The 22,055-nt window shown below is 49.7% G+C and overlaps 1 protein-coding gene across 1 annotated transcript in view, besides 5 other annotated features; it reads right to left on the bottom strand.

Annotated features, from left to right (window-relative positions):
* Window positions 1–22,055, bottom strand: part of CCND2 (cyclin D2) — a 31,592-nt gene that overhangs the window by 6,997 nt on the left and 2,540 nt on the right. The window contains exons 3-4 of the mRNA NM_001759.4: window positions 19,438–19,597; window positions 9,367–9,515 (exon numbers count right to left, since the gene is read on the bottom strand). Of these exons, the coding sequence (NP_001750.1) occupies window positions 9,367–9,515; window positions 19,438–19,597 (309 nt within the window). The remainder of the gene's footprint in view (window positions 1–9,366; window positions 9,516–19,437; window positions 19,598–22,055) is intronic.
* Window positions 3,741–4,240: an enhancer, noted in NCBI's record as "H3K4me1 hESC enhancer chr12:4403283-4403782 (GRCh37/hg19 assembly coordinates)". NCBI's record gives its function as "activates a minimal SCP1, AML or CMV promoter by ChIP-STARR-seq in primed H9 embryonic stem cells {active_cell/tissue: H9 hESC(primed)}" and the evidence as "EXISTENCE:reporter gene assay evidence [ECO:0000049][PMID:30033119]".
* Window positions 4,241–4,742: an enhancer, noted in NCBI's record as "H3K4me1 hESC enhancer chr12:4402781-4403282 (GRCh37/hg19 assembly coordinates)". NCBI's record gives its function as "activates a minimal SCP1, AML or CMV promoter by ChIP-STARR-seq in primed H9 embryonic stem cells {active_cell/tissue: H9 hESC(primed)}" and the evidence as "EXISTENCE:reporter gene assay evidence [ECO:0000049][PMID:30033119]".
* Window positions 11,857–11,906: an enhancer, noted in NCBI's record as "active region_5824". NCBI's record gives its function as "activates an Ori minimal core promoter by ATAC-STARR-seq in GM12878 lymphoblastoid cells {active_cell/tissue: GM12878}" and the evidence as "EXISTENCE:reporter gene assay evidence [ECO:0000049][PMID:35858748]".
* Window positions 17,195–18,152: an enhancer, noted in NCBI's record as "H3K4me1 hESC enhancer chr12:4389371-4390328 (GRCh37/hg19 assembly coordinates)". NCBI's record gives its function as "activates a minimal SCP1, AML or CMV promoter by ChIP-STARR-seq in naive H9 embryonic stem cells {active_cell/tissue: H9 hESC(naive)}" and the evidence as "EXISTENCE:reporter gene assay evidence [ECO:0000049][PMID:30033119]".
* Window positions 19,334–19,526: a silencer, noted in NCBI's record as "fragment chr12:4387997-4388189 (GRCh37/hg19 assembly coordinates)". NCBI's record gives its function as "represses an EF-1alpha promoter that drives an FKBP-Casp9 reporter gene in an ReSE screen in phorbol 12-myristate 13-acetate-treated (for megakaryocytic differentiation) K562 erythroleukemia cells {active_cell/tissue: K562(+PMA)}" and the evidence as "EXISTENCE:reporter gene assay evidence [ECO:0000049][PMID:32094911]".

Here is a 22,055-nt window from a genome sequence, read left to right as displayed (position 1 = left end):
TTTTCCTTTCCTATCTCTCATCTATCCCACATTTCAAACTACAGCTTTCAATGAAAACTAAGATTAGGAACAACCACAGACTAAAGGCCAAAGGCAGAGACGAAATATCACCTGGAACAATGAAATGAGGAAGGGTGGTATCTGCTGCCCACCCACTATACTTGCAGGTGGCACCTAAGTTATTTAACTTTTCTGATCTCAGTTTCCCCACAAAATAATCAGAGTAAAGGGCAACTGAGATGATACTGATATATGTGCAGTGCTAAGTGGAGCTCAATAAATGATCGTGATTATGTATAACAATAAACTGGTCCTGGAACCTAAAGAATTCAGATTTCTTTGAAATGAGGTATAGATTCGCATTTAGTCAAGACTAATGAAGCGTGTGTCAAGATCCTGACAATCTTTAGTCAAGACTGTGTGTCTGGGAAGAGTGCTGAACATGACAGACGTGACGCAGCAGCAGGAGTCTCCGTGCCACCCTGAACGAGGCTGAAATGGAGTCGGGCGCTGGCCTCTGGGACTTGCTAACACCTCTCAGACGTTCCTGTGGCATCTCCTGGTTACATCCCTTACCCTTACCCTGTCCGACCTGTTGAGCTGAATGAATGACGATAAATCACATGGGGCTCACCTGCCTCATCCCTGTTCGGCTCTTCCCCAAGTTCTTCCCTCAAGGACCATGTGGCAGCATTATCCTCATAGGTTATCACTCACTAGGTGCGAAAAGTTAAGGTATAATGTTTCTTTTCTTTTCTGTTTTTTTTTTTTTTTTTTTTTTTTTTTGAGACAGAGTGTTGCTCTGTCGCCCAGGCTGGAGTGCAATGGCACAATCTTGGCTCACTGCAACCTCCACCTCTCGGGTTCAAGCAATTCTCCTTCCTCAGCCTCCCGAGCAGCTGGGATTATAGGCACGTGCCACCACGCCCAGCTGATTTTTGTATTTATAGTTGAGATGGGATTTCACCAGATTGGCCAGGCTGGTCTTGAACTCCTGACCTCAGGTATCTGCCCGCCTTGGCCTCCCGAAGTACTGGGATTACAGGCATAAGCCACTGAGCCCGGCCTGAAAGTATAATGTTTCTAGGGGCACTTGCATTTCAGTAGATGTTTGAAAACCTTAAATCCTAATAATCTAAAAAATTTAATACTAAATATAGAATCAAAATGAATGTGGGGGTTAAGGCACAAAGTGACAACGGTCAGAACTGCTGTGGAATGTCCCTTAGGCAGGTTCTACATCAGAGAGGAATGGCAAGTCTCATACCATCAGTTTTTCTTCTAAGCTGGGATAGACATGGACAGCCCTTTCTCCACTTGAGCACCGTGTGAAGGAGTTCACTTAAATGCCAGAATCATCGTGGTGTGAGATGCTCACTCCACGGTACATGGGCAGGAGCTGAGACCCAGAACAGCAGCTTCAACCCCACATTCCAGCCATCCTCCGTCACCCCCTGTGCTCACTCACTGAGTGAAACGTTGGACCTAACAGTCTAAATTGATATTTTCTTCTTTCTCTGTTTTTTTGTTTTGTTTTTTTTCTTGCAAAGAAGAATCCATTGAATCCAGGAAGTTCACGTGTAATGTTCCTCCACTGTACAGGGACTTGAGAAGCTGCTGAAGGGGATGTTTACAATTTTTTTTTTTTTTTCCCCAAGAGGCAGAGGGACTAAATCGGAGTATCTCCATACCATAGAGGCAGTGACTATATACTTGTTCCCAACTGAATACCTGTCCATGGAAGACAAATCCTACCCAAAGCATAAGGCCTAAGAGCTTTTGTTATCTAAAAGAGATGGCAGGATTCTCGGCTGACTGAGGGAACTTGCGTGTGTGTGCGTGTGCACACGAGGCGTGGTAGACAATAGCTCTGAACCATTACATTAAAAAAGAAATGCCCGTTAGGCGTAGCGATGCGGTTCCTTTAAAGAGGGTTTCGCATGGCACAGCCCTTGGTGAATACTTTCCAAGTCGCAGTTCCTGTGGAAGACCTTGCTCCTCAACAAAATCCCTCTCGCCTCCCGGCCGATCCTGCCTTGCTCTCCTTCCTCACGGGCTCTATTCTGGCCCCCGGCAAGGTCATCTGGGTTAATGTATCTTTTACCGCAATAATATGGCCAACTTGGGACTCCATGGCCATCGGTGAATTAACCATTGCCAGCCATGCCAGCATGACCCTCCACATAGGGAGACCAGGCTCCAGAAAGCGAAAGAACTCGGTTTCAGGCCATGCGCGTCTTCCCTTTGGAGTTCCCAGTGTCCCCACTTTTTCTGCTATCAGCCCTCCCTTCCAGCAGCCTGAGACCTTAAAGGAACAGTTCTGAGAAAACCCTACAGGGAGGACTGGGATGTCTGGCTGTCACTTCTACTGGACTTTCAGAGCCACGGGACTTGAGGTGACATGTGCGTGCACAGTAGTGTTTTATGTAAGTTCCAGCCAAGAGTGGGTGCCCAGGTGTCCCACATAAAACAGAGGAAGGTTTCATAGATAGACAAAACTGCATACTCTCTCTTTAGTCACATTTTAATTTCAATCCAAATCATCACTGACTTGACTACGGCCAGCTTTTGTTTTGTTTTTTGAGACGGAGTCTCACTGTCACTCAGGCTGGAGTGCAATGGTGCGATCTCGGCTCACTGCAACCTCCACCTCCTGGGTTCAAGCAATTCTCCTGTCTCAGCATCCCAAGTAGCTGGGATTACAGGTGCACGCCATCACCCCCAGCTGATTTTTGTATTTTTAATAGAGACAGGGTTTCACCAGATTGGTCAGGCTGGTCTCGAACTCCTGACCTCAGATGATCCACCCGCCTTGGCCTCCCAAAGTGCTAGGATTACAGACATGAGCCACCACACCCAGCCTGGCCAGCTCTTGACTGATGACCCCTCTGACTGGAAGATAAAAGGATGACCAAGGCAGGTACACTCCATGAATGAAGAATTCTGAACTCCCTTCCCCACCCTCTTCTAGACTTACCTTGTGGTAAGGCAGGACGCTAACCCTCTCTGCAGTCTCCACCTAACCTTCCTTCAGGTTCCACTTCCACGAAACTTGACAATGATCAGCTTGACTTTCGACTACACAAATCCCTCATTCTAGTTCAGCAAGACTAAAAGGGCAAAAGCCTGTCTTGTATAAATGATGTTGAACGCTACTCTCTGATGGTGGAAAGAGAACTTGGCCTCTCCCTTCCATGAGACAGAGCTCATGCCTTGCATATGAATACCTTTGTTTAGCATGGCAGGGGCCCTTTTTGGACTTGGGAAGGGCATATAAATTCTGTGTGCTGGTGGGAAGTGAAGGCAGAGGAGATGGTGCAGTGGTGCTGATACCTGCAACTGGACATGCCAACTCCACATCGCCCGGGTCTTGCCCAAAGCAGGAGGGCAGGAGAATGCATGGGATTGGGGTGGGGGTAGAGATGAGGGCAGCCACCTGGAGAGAGGAAGACCTCCACCTTAAATCCAACCAGGTTGCTTCTATTAGAGGATCAAGCTGAGAGAAGAGTGGAGTTAGTGCTTCCAAAGGGGCTGGATTATAAGAAGACATACACAAATAATCACAGACTTGGAGAATTTGGAGGTCCAAAGGGCCTCTGGAAATCAAATAGCCAAATGCCCTCGTTTCCCAGCTAGGGAATGGAGCGTGGAGAGTTGACGTGGCTTGTCCCAGTGACATCTGGCTGAAAGCTCAGACTGGCTTTAGAAAGGGCAAGCCTCCAATTTCAGAACTCCTTTTTCCTATATACCTTGACTTCTAAGCTCTAAGTAAAGACATACAGACCAGAGAATCTCCAAGAAAAAGAGACAGAGCCCAAGTGGCTGGAAAAACACGAAAGCGCCTCTAATCAAAAGGTGTTACACGCATGTCAAGTGTGGCGGCTCTAGGACATCAGCTTTCCTGCAGCCTCCAAAGCACCAGCCATTGTGTTAAGATGCCCCAAATTAAGCTGATTAAAAGGGAAGCCATAATGCTCGTCTGTCAGCCTGGACAGGTGGTACCCTACCGCGCTGGCGGTCGGGCAGACCTCCAACTTCTATGATGATAGGCCCCCTCCCTTGCCCCCTTCCCTCCTGGCTGCCCCCGCCCCCAAGCCTGGAGCCCTCACAGCAGTGTTTGTGATCTTCAGCTCGTTACAAGGGCCTCTGACTTCCTCTGCTTGCTGGCTCGAGCTCCGCGCCCTGCACCCTCCTCTGCCTCCATGAATGGGCTGACGGAACTCCTACCATTAGCCCTCAGTGTAACTGCACCACCTCATTGTCACCACACACGCACTGCACTCAACAGGGGGACAAAGGGCTGAATGAGCCCCAGACCCGCGGCCAACTCAGGCAGAGACAACTTAGGAAACTATCTCATTCTTCCTTTCTTCACAGGCTGTTTGGCTTATTTCCTTGCATACCAAATGAGGCCCACAGAAAAATGAGGCAGGAGAGGGAGGCATCAGCCCCCGATTCTATTCCACCTCCCCACCCCCAGCTTCCAGCAACACTTCACAAGGTTCCTGACCACAGGCCCTGAAGAGTCCACAGAAGACAGAATCTGTAACAGTGGAGGCTTGAAAATGACATGTGGGGCGAGGGTGGCGGCACTTCCAGCTACGGAGCAGAAACACACAATGCTAAACCCCATGAATCACACACATGTGGTCGAAACTGAGACTTCTTCCACGGCGCCTCCACCTCCCTGCTTTTTAATAGCTCATTGATAACCAGGACCGTAAAATGCCAGGATGACCCTAAGGAAGGGATATCCTGGAATCTTCTCTGGGCAATATTTAAGAATGTGTCTAGGGACAGGGACGAGAGTTGAAACACTCCCTATTGGGTACTGTGTACACTGTCTGGGTGACGGGTTCGACTGAAGCCCAAACCTCAGCATCACACGATATATCCACGTAACAAACCGCACATGGATCCCCTGAATCTAAAGTTTTGTTTTTTGCTTTTTGTTTTTAAAGAATGTGACAAAGAGTTTTGATGTGACTTAGACAAAAAAGGATAAATATAAGGAACAGATGACTAGAGTCTTTCTTCTGTTAAGTATCTTGCAATAACTTCACAACACCTTTATGGCCTGTGAGCCTCCATTCCATTTTTTAGTTAGTGAATTTGTGCAACTGTGTCATATGAAAATGAAGCCACTTCATTTAACCTACTCTAAGATAAGGTTGGGGAAAACTCAGAAGGCTCGGAAGGCCCTGACACAGAATTGAAGTTAAAGAAAAGACACAGCTTTTCAAAGGACATGGACAGACCAGTGAATCGGAAACCCACTGGAAACCCATCTGCCTGCCTTTGTCCTTTGCTCCTTCCTTCCTCTTCCCTTCCTCTCTTAAGCATCACTCCCAATGACTCTGCCAGGGGCTCTGGATAAAGAGCTGAGGAAAAGCTGGGCCTTATTCAAGAGGTTCTATAGACAAGGAAGCAGTGAGATCAATGCTGGCACGCAGCCCGACTAGTGTGCAGAGGGGATGGAAGAGGACCCCGATTCAGCCCAAGGAAGCAGGGCCATGGTCACCGGGGACCCAGGCCAGTGGCACCCTCCCCTCTCAAACCTACCCAGGCACTGGACACCCCCAATAGACGTCCCCCCTACAGCCAAACTGCCTCTCTGGCTGTTTTTAGCAACTCTTACGATTGGAAGGAAAAAGTATTTAAAATATACCACTCTCTGAGACGTTTATTCCCTATAAAACTGTCAGGCCCCTCACTCAGCTTTCTCTTTGGAATGAAGCGTTCTGGTTTATTTTGGCAACCAGACGGAGCAACAAAGGCCGACTTTCTCAGAGCCGCATGCGTCCCTCATATCAAAGCTATCTGCTCCTGGCCAATGAACCACAGAGACTCGCCTGGCCATCTCACAAGAATCAGGGGGACCCTCTTTCCACAGCTCGATCCCCGACAACCCACGACCTAACCCCCAAAGTAACAGAGAGCATTGCAAGCTTGAAGAAATCAGAAACAGCAAGGTGTGTAGGAGCTGACATATAACTTCAGGGGCTCTGGGGGAAACTGTCAGCTCTTCCTGATTCCCGTTTGTCAATGCACTAGGGCCAGGGGGCAAAATGTGGTCCTGTGTATTTCACTTTTCCAGGGAAGAGCTCAACATCAACCTATGGGCATTTCATAGCGTGGCCCGAGAATGTTTCAGACATACATACATACATATATATATATCCATTTATGTATGTGTGTGTATATACATATATACACACACACATTTTACTATCATAAATACACATAATGTCAAATTTCCCTTTTCAGCCACTTTTAAATGTACAGTGGCATTAAGTACATTCACACTGCTGTGTGGCCATCAGAACTCTCCATCTACAGAATTGTTTTCATCATCCCAAACTGAAACTCCGTACGCATTAAACACTAACTCCCCATCCTCTCCTCTCCCCAGACTCCTGGGAACCTCTATTCTACTTTCTGTCTCTACGAATTTGACTATTCCAGGTACCTGGTATAAGTGGAATCATACAGTATTTGTCTTTTTGTGTCTGGCTCGTTTCACTTAACATAGTATTTTCAAGGTTCGCCCATGTTATAACATGGATCGGAATTTCATTTCTTTTTAAGGTTGAATAATATTCCATTGCGTGCCCATACATTTTGTTTCTCTACTCTAAGAACAGTTTCTATCACCAAGTTTTCTCTGCTGGGAGGCCGGCATTCTACGTTAGGCCTGATGAGCTCCTTCTTTTGGGTTGATTTCCTACTGCATTTAGGGTTCGTAACACGTTACGTAGCACACCTTTGTTTACGTTCTTAATTTGCTAGGGTTTTGCACGCTTTACTCTTGCTTCATCATACAACTGCTAAGTTCCTTGAAGGCAGGAATCTCATCCTCTATTTCCCAGATGCCACCATCCACCCCAACTTCTAGCAACAACTGGGCCTTCAGTAAAGACTTCCAGAAACGAATGAAGGAAATACACCACTTCGTGACTCGTGAAATGGTAAACAGAGCTCAGGAAGCACAACTCACCTCCCTCCAAACACTAATGTGTTCTAAATTCTAGTCCTTTTATTTTTCTTCCCTCTGAGCGTCAGCTTTTCAGAGAACACAGGCTGATGGATGGGAGGAGATTTAGCACTTGGAAAGGTGCATAAACACACACACACACACACACACACACAGCCTAGCCCAGAGCTGCTTGAACCTTTCCACTAAAAACATTTTCAGGGAGAGCGAACCAGCCTCCGGGGTGCCAGAGGTAAGCCTGGAACTTCCTGAGGGCTCAGATTTTTCTTTGAAAAAGTGTTATGAATTGTACATTTCACCGCGTTCACTCTTGGTTTTTAAATATGAACATGTTCAACCCAGGTCCACCGGTGTGAATGAGGCACACACAGGCAGCCCCAGTTAGGAAACACGGCGTGTGCCCATTATAGAAATGAGGTATCAACTTGACCAACAGTTAGGATTTATAGGAGGACACCCCTAAACCAGCTTCGTACCCACTTCATATCCATTTAACAGAGTTGGCCAGCTGACTTAAATGGACTGGCTACGTAGTATCAGAAAAAGGCAAACAGTTTCCCCAGATGAGATGACGGACTGACTTGCCTGCGGTCTCGAAAAGCCAAGAGACTCAGCAGCAACTCCCAGGAGGGAAATTTCCACCACTGTCCATGTGAGATCAGTAACGGGGGACAAAGGGAGGTGGGAAAAGGCTGGAGCCGGTAGGGTGGTCAGCCCATCAGAGCAGGTCTATCAACATCGGGGGAAAAGGTTACAATGCCTGGGGGCAGGAGGAGGGGGGTGGCCGCTTCCAACTCCTGTCACTGACATTTTTGTCTCCAGGCATTGAGGAAGGGCTTGTCTTAAACTGGCTGAGAGTCCTATTTGTAAGGCAGCCTTAATTGGAGACATTCAGAAAAGGAGGAAAGCGTACCATTTCTATAAACGTTAAGTCCCGTCCACGATTTTCCTCTGGAGGATTAGAAAAGCATTCTTCATGCTGCACTGGAGGGAGGTTTTCAGTCTGTGTTCTGGAGTCCTCGTTTAAAAAGCGTATGTTTGGAGCCCGCATTTTAAAACCATATCTACGAACTATCTCAGAGGAGGACCCCGGATTTGCTCCGTCAGCATCTCCCTGCGCCATTTCTCTGAGCTGGGAACAAATGCCAGGGAAAATCCAGGTGGGCGGGCGAGGAGGCCGGCGAGCTGCAGCCGTGGGCTCTCTGAGGTTTAACCTGTCCCGTATCCCTCGTGCAGGCCTCAGCCATAGGCCTATAAACCACATGATCCCTTAACTCAATAAAAGCCCGCAGAGGGCATCTGAATCCCCCCGGACCATCCAGAGGGTGTCATCGTGAAGTGCCCAGCATTCTTCAGCCTCTCCATGGTGATGCATGAGGGCTCAGGGCCAACACCCCTCTCTCAGGTTGACTTTAAACCCCAGGGTTTTTTTTCAAACCAAAAGATCCCAGGAGCGGCAACAAGGGTGGAGTGGGAAGTTTCCAGGGGGCAGTCGGAGCCTGGGGGTTCTAGCCCCAGCTCAGCCACTGCCCACCCCGCTCCTGGCTGGTTACTTCAGTCCCTGTCCTGCCCGTGGAAAACGAAGGAATGGCCTCTCTGACCTCTTGGCACCATCCTGTCTCGGACGGGCTAGGACTGCAGCTTCCTGCTGATTGAATTCAGAGGCTCACTTGACCCTGGTCTCTCTCAAAACCTTTCTTCTCAGGAGCTCCAAATTCTGGCAACAGGAAGTTAACAGCCTCTGGGCCGTCCACAGGGCACACAGAATGGGGAAGCTCCGTAGCTAATAATAGTTTCTTGAGTTTGTATGGCACTTTGTCTTTTGAAAGCACTTTGTAATCCATTACTGCATTGAACAAAAGGGAAGAGAGAGCGGGGAGGGGTCGAGAGGTTTGCCAGGGACGGACACCGTTCTCACAGTGGGGCACCTCTTGTGTGTCTGCTCCATCCACTGCAGCTGAGTCCTGGCTCTCCTTTCTCCTCTGTGCGCCTTACAGCCTCAGCGTGTGAAAGCAGACACGGCAGCTCTTCGCTGCCGGGCAGAGGCAGCCTGGCAGCGTGTACAAATATGGCAATGAAGCAACAATTCAGACCCACTGAGAAGCCCACGCCATAAAGGAACATCGGTAAACAGCCCTCCCACCCCCACCCCCTTCATCTGCTTGCTGAGTTTTCTTCCGTATTTTCCCGTGCACAGCTTTTCAGAACCTTAAGAGGGGGTGTCACCTGCTGAACTTTGCACTCCCTTGGATGTCGATCTTAGGAAACAAACCAGAAAAATACCTCTGACACAACATAATCAAATCCGTCGTCTCCTTCCCTGAGCTGAGAAGAGACATCTGGACTTAGCCAAGAAGGTGGTGGCCACCTACCACGTCTGTGTTGGTGATCTTAGCCAGCAGCTCAGTCAGGGCATCACAAGTGAGCGAGCTCACTTCCTCATCCTGCTGGAGCCCACAGATGGCTGCTCCCACACTTCCAGTTGCGATCATCGACGGTGGGTACATGGCAAACTTAAAGTCTGCAAGGAATGAGAGGCAGAAGGTCAGGGCACAGAACGAATTTGGATCCTGGAGCTCCCGAGACTGCAGAGACTCAGAAACAGGACGGCAGCAGGTCAGCGGCGCGAGTGACCCCGTGCCCTACAGGCATGTCCTCCCTCGAGTTCTTTCACAAGGAGCCTGTGTTTATTTGCCATCACCATGGCTGTTCCAGATTAAACGAAGGAGACTGAGGCAGGGAAGGAAGACAGCTTATCTAAGCGCACACAATGAATGCACAGAGGATTCAAGGTCCCCAATCCCCAGATCCCAGTCATATTAAGCATGTCTGAGTTAACATTCTTGACCCTGGTGGGGGGAGCAAGGTGAGCGAGTCATAGTCTCCTCTAGAGGTGATGGTGGGAACAGAGCAGAGAATGCCTGAGACCAGTGCAGACAAGGTACCCCATGGGCCATGCAAGCAGGACAGACCAGGGGCTCCAGATGTGAGAAGGAGGGAAAGTACAAGGAGATGGGAGAAACGGGCAAAATCTATGCATAATGCTAATTCAGATGGGATCTTGTTATAGTCTCTGGACAGGCATTGAGGATTAATATGACCCCCACCCAAAAAAAAAAAAAAAAGGTTTGATCTAAAAAAGGAAATGAGAGAAGCAGCAATGCAGGGAGTGGGCGAGTGGGGGCTGAGTTCCACCCAGTTCCCAACCTCTGGCCCAACAGCAAGAACCCTCAGAACATTAGGGCAGAGGATTCTAACCCTAACATAGGGCTCTAACTAAGCACTGAAGATTAATCATTGCATCCGAATCAGATGGGTGACTCGGTTTCGATGTTATGACTCATGAGACTGAAGGCCCCATTTTATTGCTAAGAGAAAAAAATGTGACTTGCTACAGGGAAGTGCAGAATGAGGATAATAAATCAGAGGGGCTTGAACCCCGTCCACTGCCATGCTAGAGGGCTCCTCTTGGAAGACCAGCCCCCTTGTGTTCCTCCGAGCACTCCTTCAGAGGGGCTGGGTGGCCATGATCCAGCAGCTGCTTGGTCCATCGAGGGGAAATAAAGACAGCCAACTTCTCCTGTTACAGCTGCTGACAGCTACCAATGACCACCACATGCAGTACGCTACACATTACGTCCTGTTTAATTTACCCATCAGCCACAGAAGATGCACACGAGCGTCACCCTAATGGTATGGGTGAGAACCCTGAGACTTTTGAGAGTTTAAGTTGCCCCTGCTCGTGTTGACAGATATTAGGGTGGGTATAGTTGCAGCCATCACGCTAGTGACGGTCCTGGAGTGCAGCAAGTCTTCCAAAGCGTACTCTTTCTCGTTTTAGCATTGCTCTAGTGAGCTTACTGTGTGTAGACATGGAAGGGGCACGTGGGGGCAGGAGACACAGCATACAGGGAACCGTGGGTCACCCTTCAACTTACAGCAAAAACAATCAGGTTAAATCTACAAAAACCAGCCCCTCTCCTATTTCCCCTTCCTCCTGTACACACTCTATTACAAACACACTTTCTACAGCAGCTCTTTTAATGGTCAGCCCATTGCCCCAGCATCAAGTTAGCAGCATTGTTAGACACCGTGGATCCCTGAGCCAAGCACAGCCCTCCCCTCCCATCATGAACGCAGAGCAAACCTGGCCATCTGCCTGTCTCCTTGGCTTTTTCTCCATTGCCCTCTCACCATCTCCACCTCTTGAGGGACGTATATAATGGTGCTGCGCCCACGCCTGCTGTCCACCCGCCCCTCCTACGCCTTCTCTGTCGCCATGAACAGTGTGACAAAGCCAGCCTCCCTGCCTCTTGCTCTGCTGTAGGTCTCTTCCACATGGGTCACAGGAGAGTGTTTCTCTGCCCAATAACCTCGTTAGCTCCCCCCTGTGACATTCATAACACAAGCGGGGCAGCCGGCCCATGGCCCTGGGCCCACAAAGGCCCGGGTGGGAGCATCTGCCAGGGAAGAGGCAGGCAAGTATCCCCGGCCCTCCCTTCCCTCTGCCATAGGCCTCAGACCGGGAAGCACACCTCACACATGCCCATCTCTGCTGTCCCACTGCTAGCAAAACCAACTCTTATTATTGGCATACGAATGAACTTCTGGAAGCCAGCAGGCATAGGGGGAACAGGTGCACCGGTTGCACAGGGAGACTCTACCTCCCTTTTTGTTTTACTAAGAAGATTTTCAGGGGAGTCCTCTTGGGGACACTGTCCAATCCCACAGAATTGGGGAGCACTATGTGCATGAACTTGACTGCCTCTCAGCAGCTCAGAGTGGCACCAAAGGAGCAGTGTGTTCCCACAGCCAGAGGAGAGACGCCGCTGGAGACGAGGACGGCGGCCGTGCTGCCCTCTGTTGCCCGCTACACAGAAGACGAGCATCTTCCTCGGGATCCCTGAGCATGCCCCACCTCTCCTCCAGGTTAGTCAAATACTGAGGCAACATCAGCCCTCCAGCTAGGTCCAGACGTGGGACTGTGGGCAAGTCACTTCCTCTTTCCAAGGGCTTGGTTTCCCATTTGTCTAATAACGGGTTGGGTGAGATAAGTGTTTTTCTAACTTCTAGCTGCAACTCATTAATGGGTCATGAAATGCATTTGTGGGTCGTGACCAGCACTTTCTGTTGTTGTTCTCCTTTAACCAAATAGAGTAGGATAGAAAGTATCAGGCTCACCGTATGTCGTTAAGAGTAAATATTGTTCGGAGAAACTTTTGTATCAGTTTGATATACTTGTACAAGTATCCTGAGTTGTGTTATAAAATGTGTTTCTTCCTACATGGCTTAGGTCAAGAGTTTAAAGATAGTAAGCAGGATAACCTCCCAGGTGCCTTACAGGTCTACTTTGCTCTTACTTGAGGATCTGGAATGGGAATGACTCCCAAGGAGAAGAACAATGAGGAGACAATAGAATGGATCACGGTGTCTACCAGCCGGCAAATTCACAAAGCAGCCCTCTCCACAGAGCGGCGCTACTTCCCCGTGGCACCAGGGCTGCCCCAGGACCACTCTCAAGGACATCCCCCTCTCTACTGGTAGGGGATACTGAACAGAGAGAAAAACAAAAAAATCAAACATCATTTCATCTGTGCACTAGCTTCCTAGCTGTAATTAGCCAACCCCCACCCTCAACTGTGGAAAGCTCCACCTACCCAATGCAGCCATTCCTGGAAACCATCAGCTTTGTCGCTATGACAGGATGGAGAAATGGTCACAATATCCACTCAGAAGAAGGAAGCGGAAAACCAAATTGCATGCATGCATGCGACGATGAAGATTACAACCATGGGTAAATACATACATATATGCCTATGGATGAACTGGAAGGATGCACGGAAAATAAAAGCTGTTCTGTTAGGTGGGAGAAACACAGATGAGTTTGTAAAATTTGTACGTAATATTATTTTAACAAATAAAAACCAGGTACAAATTTCTCAGCAGTCTGTTAAGTCTCTTGATCAAAAATGCCAACAAGCAATATGCTGGTGCAGAAGGCACGCTCAGGGGTGAGGGTGTGCCCTCGCCATCGTTAATTGCCCACCTGGAGAGGTGAGATGCTGGTGACTTCCTGAGATCCTTCCTCCTGCAGCAGAGAGAGAGGCAATGAACCGATCAGCGATCCATTCTGATCGACTCATGACAATGTGCTCCTCCCTGTTCCAGGCAGCATGGAGGACTCCCCCCAAAACGTACAATATTCAGACTTCTTAAGGCTGGGCATCAATGCATTAGATAGTAGAGGATGGTGTGCTATAATGGCTAGGTCTGTACTACTATATGGATAACTTCTGAAGAAACTTCTCAAAGAAAGGGGGCTCTTGAAGGCTGGGCGCAGTGGCTCACAGTGTAATCCTAGCACTTTGGGAGGCCGAGGTGGGCAGATGACCTGAGGTCCGAAGTTCGAGACCAGTCTGGCCAACACGGTGAAACCCTGTCTGTACTAAAAATACAAAAATTAGCCAGGCATGGTGGCACGCGCCTGTAATCCCAGCTATTCTGGAGGCTTGGGCAAGAGAATCACTTGAACCCGGGAGTTGGAGGTTGCAGTGAGCAGAGATTGTGCCATGCACTCCAGCCTGGGTGACAGAGCAAGACTGTCTCAAAAAAAAAAAAGAAAAAGAAAAGAAAAAAAAAAAGAAAGGAGGCTCTTGAGTGAAGAGGAGCATTTGAGACACTTCTCAGAAGACTCTTCAGGGAGATGGGAAGGATTTGGAGAGTAGACTCAAAAAGCTCCAAGCTGGAACGTGGAGTGCACGGAGCTTGGGCAGCCTCCACTCCTGCCCCAGTCCCCACCAGACCCAGGAGGGCCTTTCTCCAGGTTGCTGCATCTGGAGATCTGAAGAGAGCAGGAGCAGCCACACGCCTTGCCATGGGCAACAGAGGCCGTCCCAGGGCCTAGGGCTCCAGCTCCCCTCCAACCAAAGCAGACCTCTGGAGAACACAGCTCACTGGTTCAGAGTATTAGCTCTGGAATCAGAAGGAGGTGGAATCTCCATCCCACCACCTACCAAGTGTGTGAAGATGAGCAAGTTACCTGACCTCTCTGAGTTTTCATTTTCTGATCTGCAAATAATGACAACAGCAATACCCACGTTGTAGTGCTGTTCTGAGGATTCACTTAAAATAATCCTTGTAAAAGCACAGTGCCTGGTTCAAGGTAAGCAATGAATGTCAGCCAGCATCCTCCCCAACCTGCCCCTCCTCTGCTCTCACTCCTAGTACTTCCTGCAGGACTGTGGTGGGGAGTTCCGACTGGAGATGCTCTCCAGCGTCTGGAGGGATGAGGAGAAAGGCGCCCAGCATCCCTGGATTGCAGGCAGATGCAGGGAGCAGGCCAAGCAGGCCAGGAAGAATGAGGGCTCTGTGCTTCCTGGAGAATCTGTCACTATCCAGTTGTGTATGTGTCCCAGAAATGACATCATCGAGTCCCCAAAGCCTCCTGCTGCTTTGCAGAACTGGGAGAAAGTGCAGCCCCACAGGGGAATGAAAAGAACCCCATGAACACTCAGCGAATGGAAGAGAGAAGTTGGCAACTCTAACCCAGCACATTCCACAATTCATTGAGATGCAGTTCACCCGAGCCAAGGAACGATGCCCAGATAACCAGGAACACCCGACATTCCCGCCTCCCTCCTGGCAAAATGGTGGAGGCAAAGGACACACCTTAGGGGAATCCCAGCTGGACCCACAGGCGCCAGGGGCAGCTCTGCTGTGGGCTGCATGCTTGCTTATGACGGCGGTGATGATGGTGAGGTATTAATAAAAAGGAGCTTGAAATTCATCTGTTTCAAACATCTCCTTTTACAGGTGAATCAATGAAGTCTTGGGAGATGAAGTGATCTGGCTGATGTCACTCACTGTGAGTGTTGGGCCTGGGATCCGGATGAGACTTTGAGACTCTGGATGCAGAGCTCTTCGTAACTTACTGGAAGCTGACCAGCTCCTCAAAGTCACCTCCCATATACCACTCAGGAGGACAGGGCAGCCTTTCACGTCGGAAGTGGGAGAAGAGCCCCAAAGGTGGCGCTCTGGCTCAGGAATCAAAGGAATTGGGTCCCAGCCGCAGCCCCGGCACCAGCAAGCACAAAAGGCTTATCCTCCCAAGGATGCCCTGGGAGCCTCTGGGGGTCCCGCTGGGCTCCCTCACCTGGGCATGGGCCCTGAGAAGTGCTCCATTTCATCAACTTGGTATCTGCACTTCTTGGTAGGATTTTACCAAATAAAGAGTTCAGAGCTAAGTAAGTTTAAAACCACGGAATACATGGTCCTGCCCAGTACATTTAGCACCCATCATTTTGGCTATGGTGGCCGAGGTCTTGGGGTGCAGGGGTGATGGCTTTGCTTCTGTTCACCAATAGGGGGAGAGAGATACGCACTCTGACGCTGAAGAAGAAAGGGAAGGCCAGGTCAGGCTTTCCCCATCTCTCTTCTCCAACCTGCAGTCAGGTGGAAGTTCAAAGGGCCAGAACCAGAGTGTTCACAGGCCAGGGACGTCACTGGGCACGCACCTCATCTGCCACCCCCATAAGAGGACCAGCATACCCTGTCCTTGTGGGGCAGGGCTGCCATGGCAAGGGAATGCCCATGCAACTGCAAGGCCTGCTGGGAGGAGCTGGGGAGGGGGCTGGTTGGAGGGCGATGAGCAGCCTGCTACCCATTCATCTTACAGCCAGAGGGAAGAGCGATGGCAAGCACCACACTGCCTGGCTGCTTGTCCCCACAGGGCATGCTAACGACTCCCCCTCAGTCCCATGACCTCGCGGCTTCAGGGGTAGCTCAGAGACTTGCAGATGGAAAGACGGGTTTCCATTCTTCCTTCCCAGCACCCATCAAGGCGAAATCTCCCACTCTAGATCAAGGGCCAAGTCATCGAACTTCTCTGGGCCACCACTGTCTCCCTCTCACTTGGCGATGGAATCTGAGGGAACACCTGTAGGTAAAGCCAGGGAAGGGGCTAGGACAGCACAATGGGTTCTAGTCAACAATGGGGCTCTGGCCTTGGCGTGGGGAGGCCTGGGGGTGGCTACCGTGTGTGGCACAAATACCAAGGTGCAGCATCTTAGGGTGGGCTTCTAGTGAAGAAAGAGGGGATGTGGGTGCCTGGAGAGGGAGGGTGAGCACCTCCCCCTACCCGGTGCCAGGTGTAAACTCAATGCCATTGGCTCTGCTAGACTAACTGGAATCATCCACCGAGCATGGTATCACATCTCAACAATCTCCCAGTGCCAGAGTGCGAACCCAGGTCATCTCCAATGGCCTTCTTTCCTCGCTTGCAGACCTGGGTGTTCTATCAGCAGAGCGGCAACCAGGGAAGCTATGGCTCAGTTCTGCTTCCCCAGTTTTGGAAACTCCAGGAACAGGAATGCTAGGAGCTGTAGTCAGGAAGATCCCCCGCCCAACCCACCCATGCCTGCACTGCCCAGGACCTGCTGCAGAGGGATACCAGCAGCTTGCGGCCCTTGCTCTTCCAGAAGCCATTTTAGGCTGAGCAGGGAAGGAAGGAGGGCTCCTCTCCGCCTTGCCACCATCTTAATCCAGAGCCCCATAAAGCAAGACCGCCACTTCGCCACACTTACGCGGCCCCTCTATGTTCTCCTGCTCTCCCTTCCCCTTTCACACACAAATACGCTCCCCACACACTGCAGAACCACTGCCAGCTCTTTCACAACCAGCTTTTCCCATCAAATAGCTGCACGGCCTGAGGGTTGGCGGCCATCTCTCGGGACCCCCACCCTCCACCCACTGTGGACCTCCGAGACCCTGGCCGCAGGTGTTTCATCAGCTCCAGGACGGAACATCCAGGACTGCGAGAAAAGGAGGGAAGTGTGCGATTTGAGGAGCAGGTGAGGGCAACAGCTCGGGTTGGGGAATCTGCATCTCCTACCTCTGCCTCTCAGTCACTCTGTGCCCGCTACTGGCCAGAGTCCTGGGTCCTTGCCCATTCATCACACCCTGGCCCCACAATGCACAATCGCCTCTCCATGGAAGGTGTTTCCTTCAAGAAAAGCGGCCTTCGGTGTTTGTACTGTGAGGCCGACTGTTGTAAAACTCCACGCAGCCAGGATTCTATGTGACTCAGTCAGTTGCACAAACCCAAGTGCAGATGAGGGAAAGCAACTTCTTTCGATACAGGCCCCTCCTTTCCAGACCCAGGAAACTGCCGAGGACCTACCTGTGCTCTGCCCTGTCAACGCCTGAGGCTTAGTGCCTAGCACACCATTTTCATGTGGTTTGGGGGTGTCCTTTCCTAGTCCCTGACCAAAGCTAGTTCAAGGCCCCCAAAACACAGTCTTTATAACTGCCTCTGTATCCCTCTGGGCCTCTGTCCTCAGTCTCTGAATCCCAGGCTCCCTACTCTGGCCCCGGAGCTGGCAGCCAGCCCAAAGATCTGGGCAAGAAGGCCACGGGTGGGGGATGGGATCCCCGGTTTTCGAGAATGGGTCTAGACGGAATCTGGGGATCTGCCCACACCCCGGTAACTCCACCCAGCACCCCTACCCCAATCAGAGATCAGAGAGGAGGAAGGGGCAGTTAGACCCCAAAAGATCTGTTAGTCAAGAGACAGTGTTGAGCAGAGCTCTGGCTATCAACAGCTGGGCAGTGGGGGAGTTTAGGGTCGGGGGTCAGCTGTCCTTGGGCCAGAGAGAAAGAACTGGCTGACCCCTCCCCCACAGTGAATCATGATGAGAGAGGAAGGAGACAGCCGAGCCTGGGAGACAAAATGACAGGTCACTGGAGGACTGACCTCTCGGGCCCGGGCCAGACAGCAGAAGGGAAGGAAGCCAGAGTGACCACTATCCAAAAGGCAGCAGGGGTCCACAGGGGTCCTAAGAACCGCCCCCAGGGCTGCAGGAAGGATAACGGACTCTCCCACCAAGGGGCACAGGGCGCATGTGCACGCCATGAGGCCTGGCCTGCATCCAGGAGAACAGGACTACAGAAAACCAGCAAGGGGAAACCTGTGCCCTAGATGAACAGGCAGGGGGCCGGGAGGACTCCACACTCAAGCCTGCAAGTGCAGAACACACAGGTCCTGCTAGAAACACGTAAGGGCAGCCAGAAAAGGAAAGCCATCATATCCACTTTAGTCGGAACAGTTAAAATCAGGGTGAAAATCGGAGATGGTAGCATTTTCACAATTAGTGAAGGTCCAACCTACACTTCGGTTTACAAAGCACGTCCACGTGCATCACCTCTTTCTGATTTTAATTTTCCTAGCTGCTCTGAAAAGGCTGTAGGATGATGTATCAATAGGCTTGTTTTGGAGATGAAGAAGCTCGGGTTCAGAGAGGTTAAGCAGCCAATTAAAGGTCACTCACTGATATGCAGCAAAGCCTGACTTTTTGACTGTGAGCACAGGGCATATGCACTACATCGTACGTTATATAATCATCCGTTCCGTAGAACTCACCAGTAACATGTAACAACATCCTGAAAAAAGTTACCACGTGAGTCCACCTAGCGATTTAACTACTCTTGGCAAATTTGAGGTGAAGCACACCGAAAGGTCTTCCCAAGTGATCAGCTTTTTACCTAAGGTTTCTGATTGTCAAAACATGAACTCCTGACATCTCTCCCTTGGATGAGTAAGGTTCCAGGGTCTCTGCCATGGCCACTACCAAGAAAAAAAAAAACAAAAAACCAGTAGACACTGGCCAAGGCTGTTTAATAAGACAACAGCAAACCACTGCCTTTGGTTTATTAGGAAACTACAAAACAAATGGGCCAGTAGGAATGATGTATCAATTGTGGGATCCACGTGGTAGGCGGAATTGCAACGTTAAAGGCTGCGGCCAAAATCAAAACACCTCCACATGAACTGAGGGCATCAGAACCCAGCGCTCAGAAAGTAAAGCCTCACCGAAAGCCAACCAGGTTCCCTCCCGCGCCCAGTGGGGCAAACAGCTAGAGAAGCAAACAGCTAGAAGGCCATAAATGCCCTACAGTAAAAAAAAAAAAAAAAGAATTTCTTTGGTCTCCCTTACCACTAATCAAGGCAGGCAGCATATTTATCTTGACGTTGTTCCTTTAACCTGTATTTGCCCCCATCCCCCTCGAGATTTCCTCTTGGGCTTATCTCCAAGCCATCCTTTTCCTTAAAAGATTAAAGATTTGAACACAACCAGTGAGCAGTATATGTAATCTTCAAAGAGCACTTTAGCCATCATAAAGAATATTTTAACAGGCACTAATTTTTTTTGCCTTAACCACACCTGTCCTCATAAACCATTTATGAGTTTAGCAGAGAAAGCGAATATATAAAGCTCAGATAAAGAAAAAGCAACCCAGGAATGAAACTTCAGACTTTAGACTACTCAAGACCACCCCTCCTCCAAACTCCTGAACTAAAATGAAAGTTCCTACGGCCTTTTGCCTCTCCCCGGACATCTCCCAAAAGAGCTCCCCCATCTCCCTCCCCGGCTCAAGCCTCATCTTACCGGTGGCACACAGAGCAATGAAGGTCTGAGCATGCTTGCGGATCAGAGACAGCTTCTCCCGCTGCTGGGGCAGCTTGCGCAAGATGTGCTCAATGAAGTCATGAGGAGTGACAGCTGCCAGGTTCCACTTCAACTTCCCCAGCACCACCAGTTCCCACTCCTGGAGGGGAAGGCAGGAAGAGAAGAGGAGAATCTAAATTCCACAGGCTGACCTGGTGTAGGGGGCTGGGGGTTGGGCTCCAGACCAGTTTTAAGGCCGCTCATTAGGACGTGGCTGCTAGATTGTAAGGCGGGCCCATTTGTCAATGTGCCCCTGAAGCTTTGAAGTTGTTGACAGCTCTTCTTATGCTTCAAATGTCAGGCTCCACTGAAAATAATGAGAGCCCAGGTAGCTGTTGCCAAGATTCTATTTTCTTCTACTTCGTTTCCACTCCAGCTCCCCTTACCCCCTCCCAACCCTGACTTGCAGGCAATACTGCTTCCCGCCCACCCAGAAAGCTGAACCTACAATGAGATACGGCCAAGGTCATTGTGGCCCTTTCATGGTAATTTATTGTATATGTCTCTATCACCGAATTAATAGTCTTTTTAATCTTCATGGAAAAATGATGCACACAGATAAAGCTCAAAATAAGGTTCCTTGGCCCAACTCCTTGGCAACCAATTAGCTTGCTTTTACTTAGTGCCAAAAAGTGCCTTTATCTCTCTGCTGCTCAAACTCCCCTTTTACATATCAGGCAGAAATTCTGGGGATGTGACACTCAGCCCTTTCCCCTAAATGTTTCACAGGCCATTGTCATCATGACTAAAGGACCACATGGTCATTAGCAACCTCATTTTGCAGATGGAGGTGATCTGGGGCAAGGTGAGGGTGCCTGCTCAGTGTCACAGCATCCCTCAGTGCAAGTGTGGGGACCACACAACCCTGTCTCTTGGGTCTCTCACCAGCAACCCACCTGAAAAAGAACCTTGTTTCCCTCTTTCACTGAGATACTTACGGGAAACTGTGCTCAAAGGGAAACGGTCCAAAATAAAACATTAAAAATATCGTATGTGCTACCAGAAAATATGCCTATCCACTGAGCTGTCATCAGAAGAATGAGAGGCAGGGCCTGTTTGCCAATGCACCCTCTCTCCCATTCACCTGGAGAACCTGGAATCTCTTTCATTTGCTAAACCAGCAACCAGAGCACCAGTCCCACAGCTGTGGGGCTGGGGGTGATTCCCTTTCCCTCCCAGGCCTCAGCCTTCTCATTTGTAAAATAGGACTCTTCCAAATCCCAACTTCTGGGATAAAGGGAATAGGAAAAAGCCAAGTTTGTTTGTAGCAATATATTGCTTGGCTAGTCCTGGAAAGATTTGGGTGTCCTGAAGAACATCTCAATTCACCATCCTCTCGAAACAAATGAACCATATGAAGATGATTTTTCCTGCTCTCTCATGAGAAAAACAAATTGGTTCCCAATTCTAACAATGTTTTCTTCATAAGCTTTAAAATCTGCCTTGGCTTTCTGTGTACAGCCGGGGTAAAGCACCCCAATAAACTACTAAACCACCATCATCTTCAAAGATGGCTTGAAATGCCAGCCCTTCCTCTTCACAGGGTAATGCGAGTACGAACCACTGGTCTTGCACCGTTATTAAAGGAAGCAGATCTCCCAGAAGAAAGCACCTTTCTAGGCCTCTCGGACCAAACCAGAAGCAGCTAAAACCTGGCAGCGGTTCAAAGGTGAAGTCATTCAGGCCCCTCTCCACATTCTCGGCAATTCCTCCCCCAACCTTGTGCATGTCTTCCACTAGATGGCAGCAGAGCCCCAGAAAGGAAGGCTCCTCACAAAGAGCTCAGTTCAAGAAGCCAGCCTCAGCCCTGTGGACTTTGTGCGGGCCCTACCAGTGAGGAGGGGGAGGGGCGGGAAGGAGGGGGTGCTTTTCTGAACAGTGCAAAGAGGGGTGTGCAAACCACCGAAGGTGGGCCTTGGAGCCGCTATTCCATGCGGTACAGCTGCAATATGGTCGTCTTATATGTCAAGCTGCAGGGAAAAGGAGTTAGATCAGGTGGGAAAAAGGTTCCCTGGTAGAAAAGCAGAGATAAGACAGGATCCCTGGGGTTGTACAGAGGTCACAGTCCCACTGGAGGTAGGAACCCAGGCCTCGGACTCCTTCAGTGAAAGGCCACATTTTGACTTTGCTCAAAAGTCAATGAACTGATATTTAGTGAACAGCTATTATGTGTTGGTATCTTGAGACTTTGTAGATATAGAGGGCATTACCTTTGAACTCCAAGTTTTTAGGAGACACCACAGCCACATACCTATCATGTGAACACGTTCTCAGACTATTTTTGGAAATTTGGAATTTAATTAAAATATTATCACTGTTAATTAAAATATTCCATGCGTCCCCTACACACATGCATACACAATTGCAAATGAGTCTCACCAACCCAAATCTCCATGAGGATCTTATTCACAGATGTAGCCTCAGTGCTGGGCACGGAGCCTGGGCACATAGTAGGAACACACAAAAAATAAACAGTGGTTTCCTATTAAATGAGCTATCGCCCATAAGTGGGTAAATTCTATTGGTGGGGTCATTCTGGATCCCAAGAATTTGCTCTG

Source organism: Homo sapiens, chromosome 12 (genome assembly GCF_000001405.40).
Source record: "Homo sapiens chromosome 12, GRCh38.p14 Primary Assembly".
Classification (NCBI taxonomy): domain Eukaryota; kingdom Metazoa; phylum Chordata; class Mammalia; order Primates; family Hominidae; genus Homo; species Homo sapiens.
Note: the sequence above shows the minus strand (reverse complement) of the source record. Positions and strands in the feature narration are given on the sequence as shown.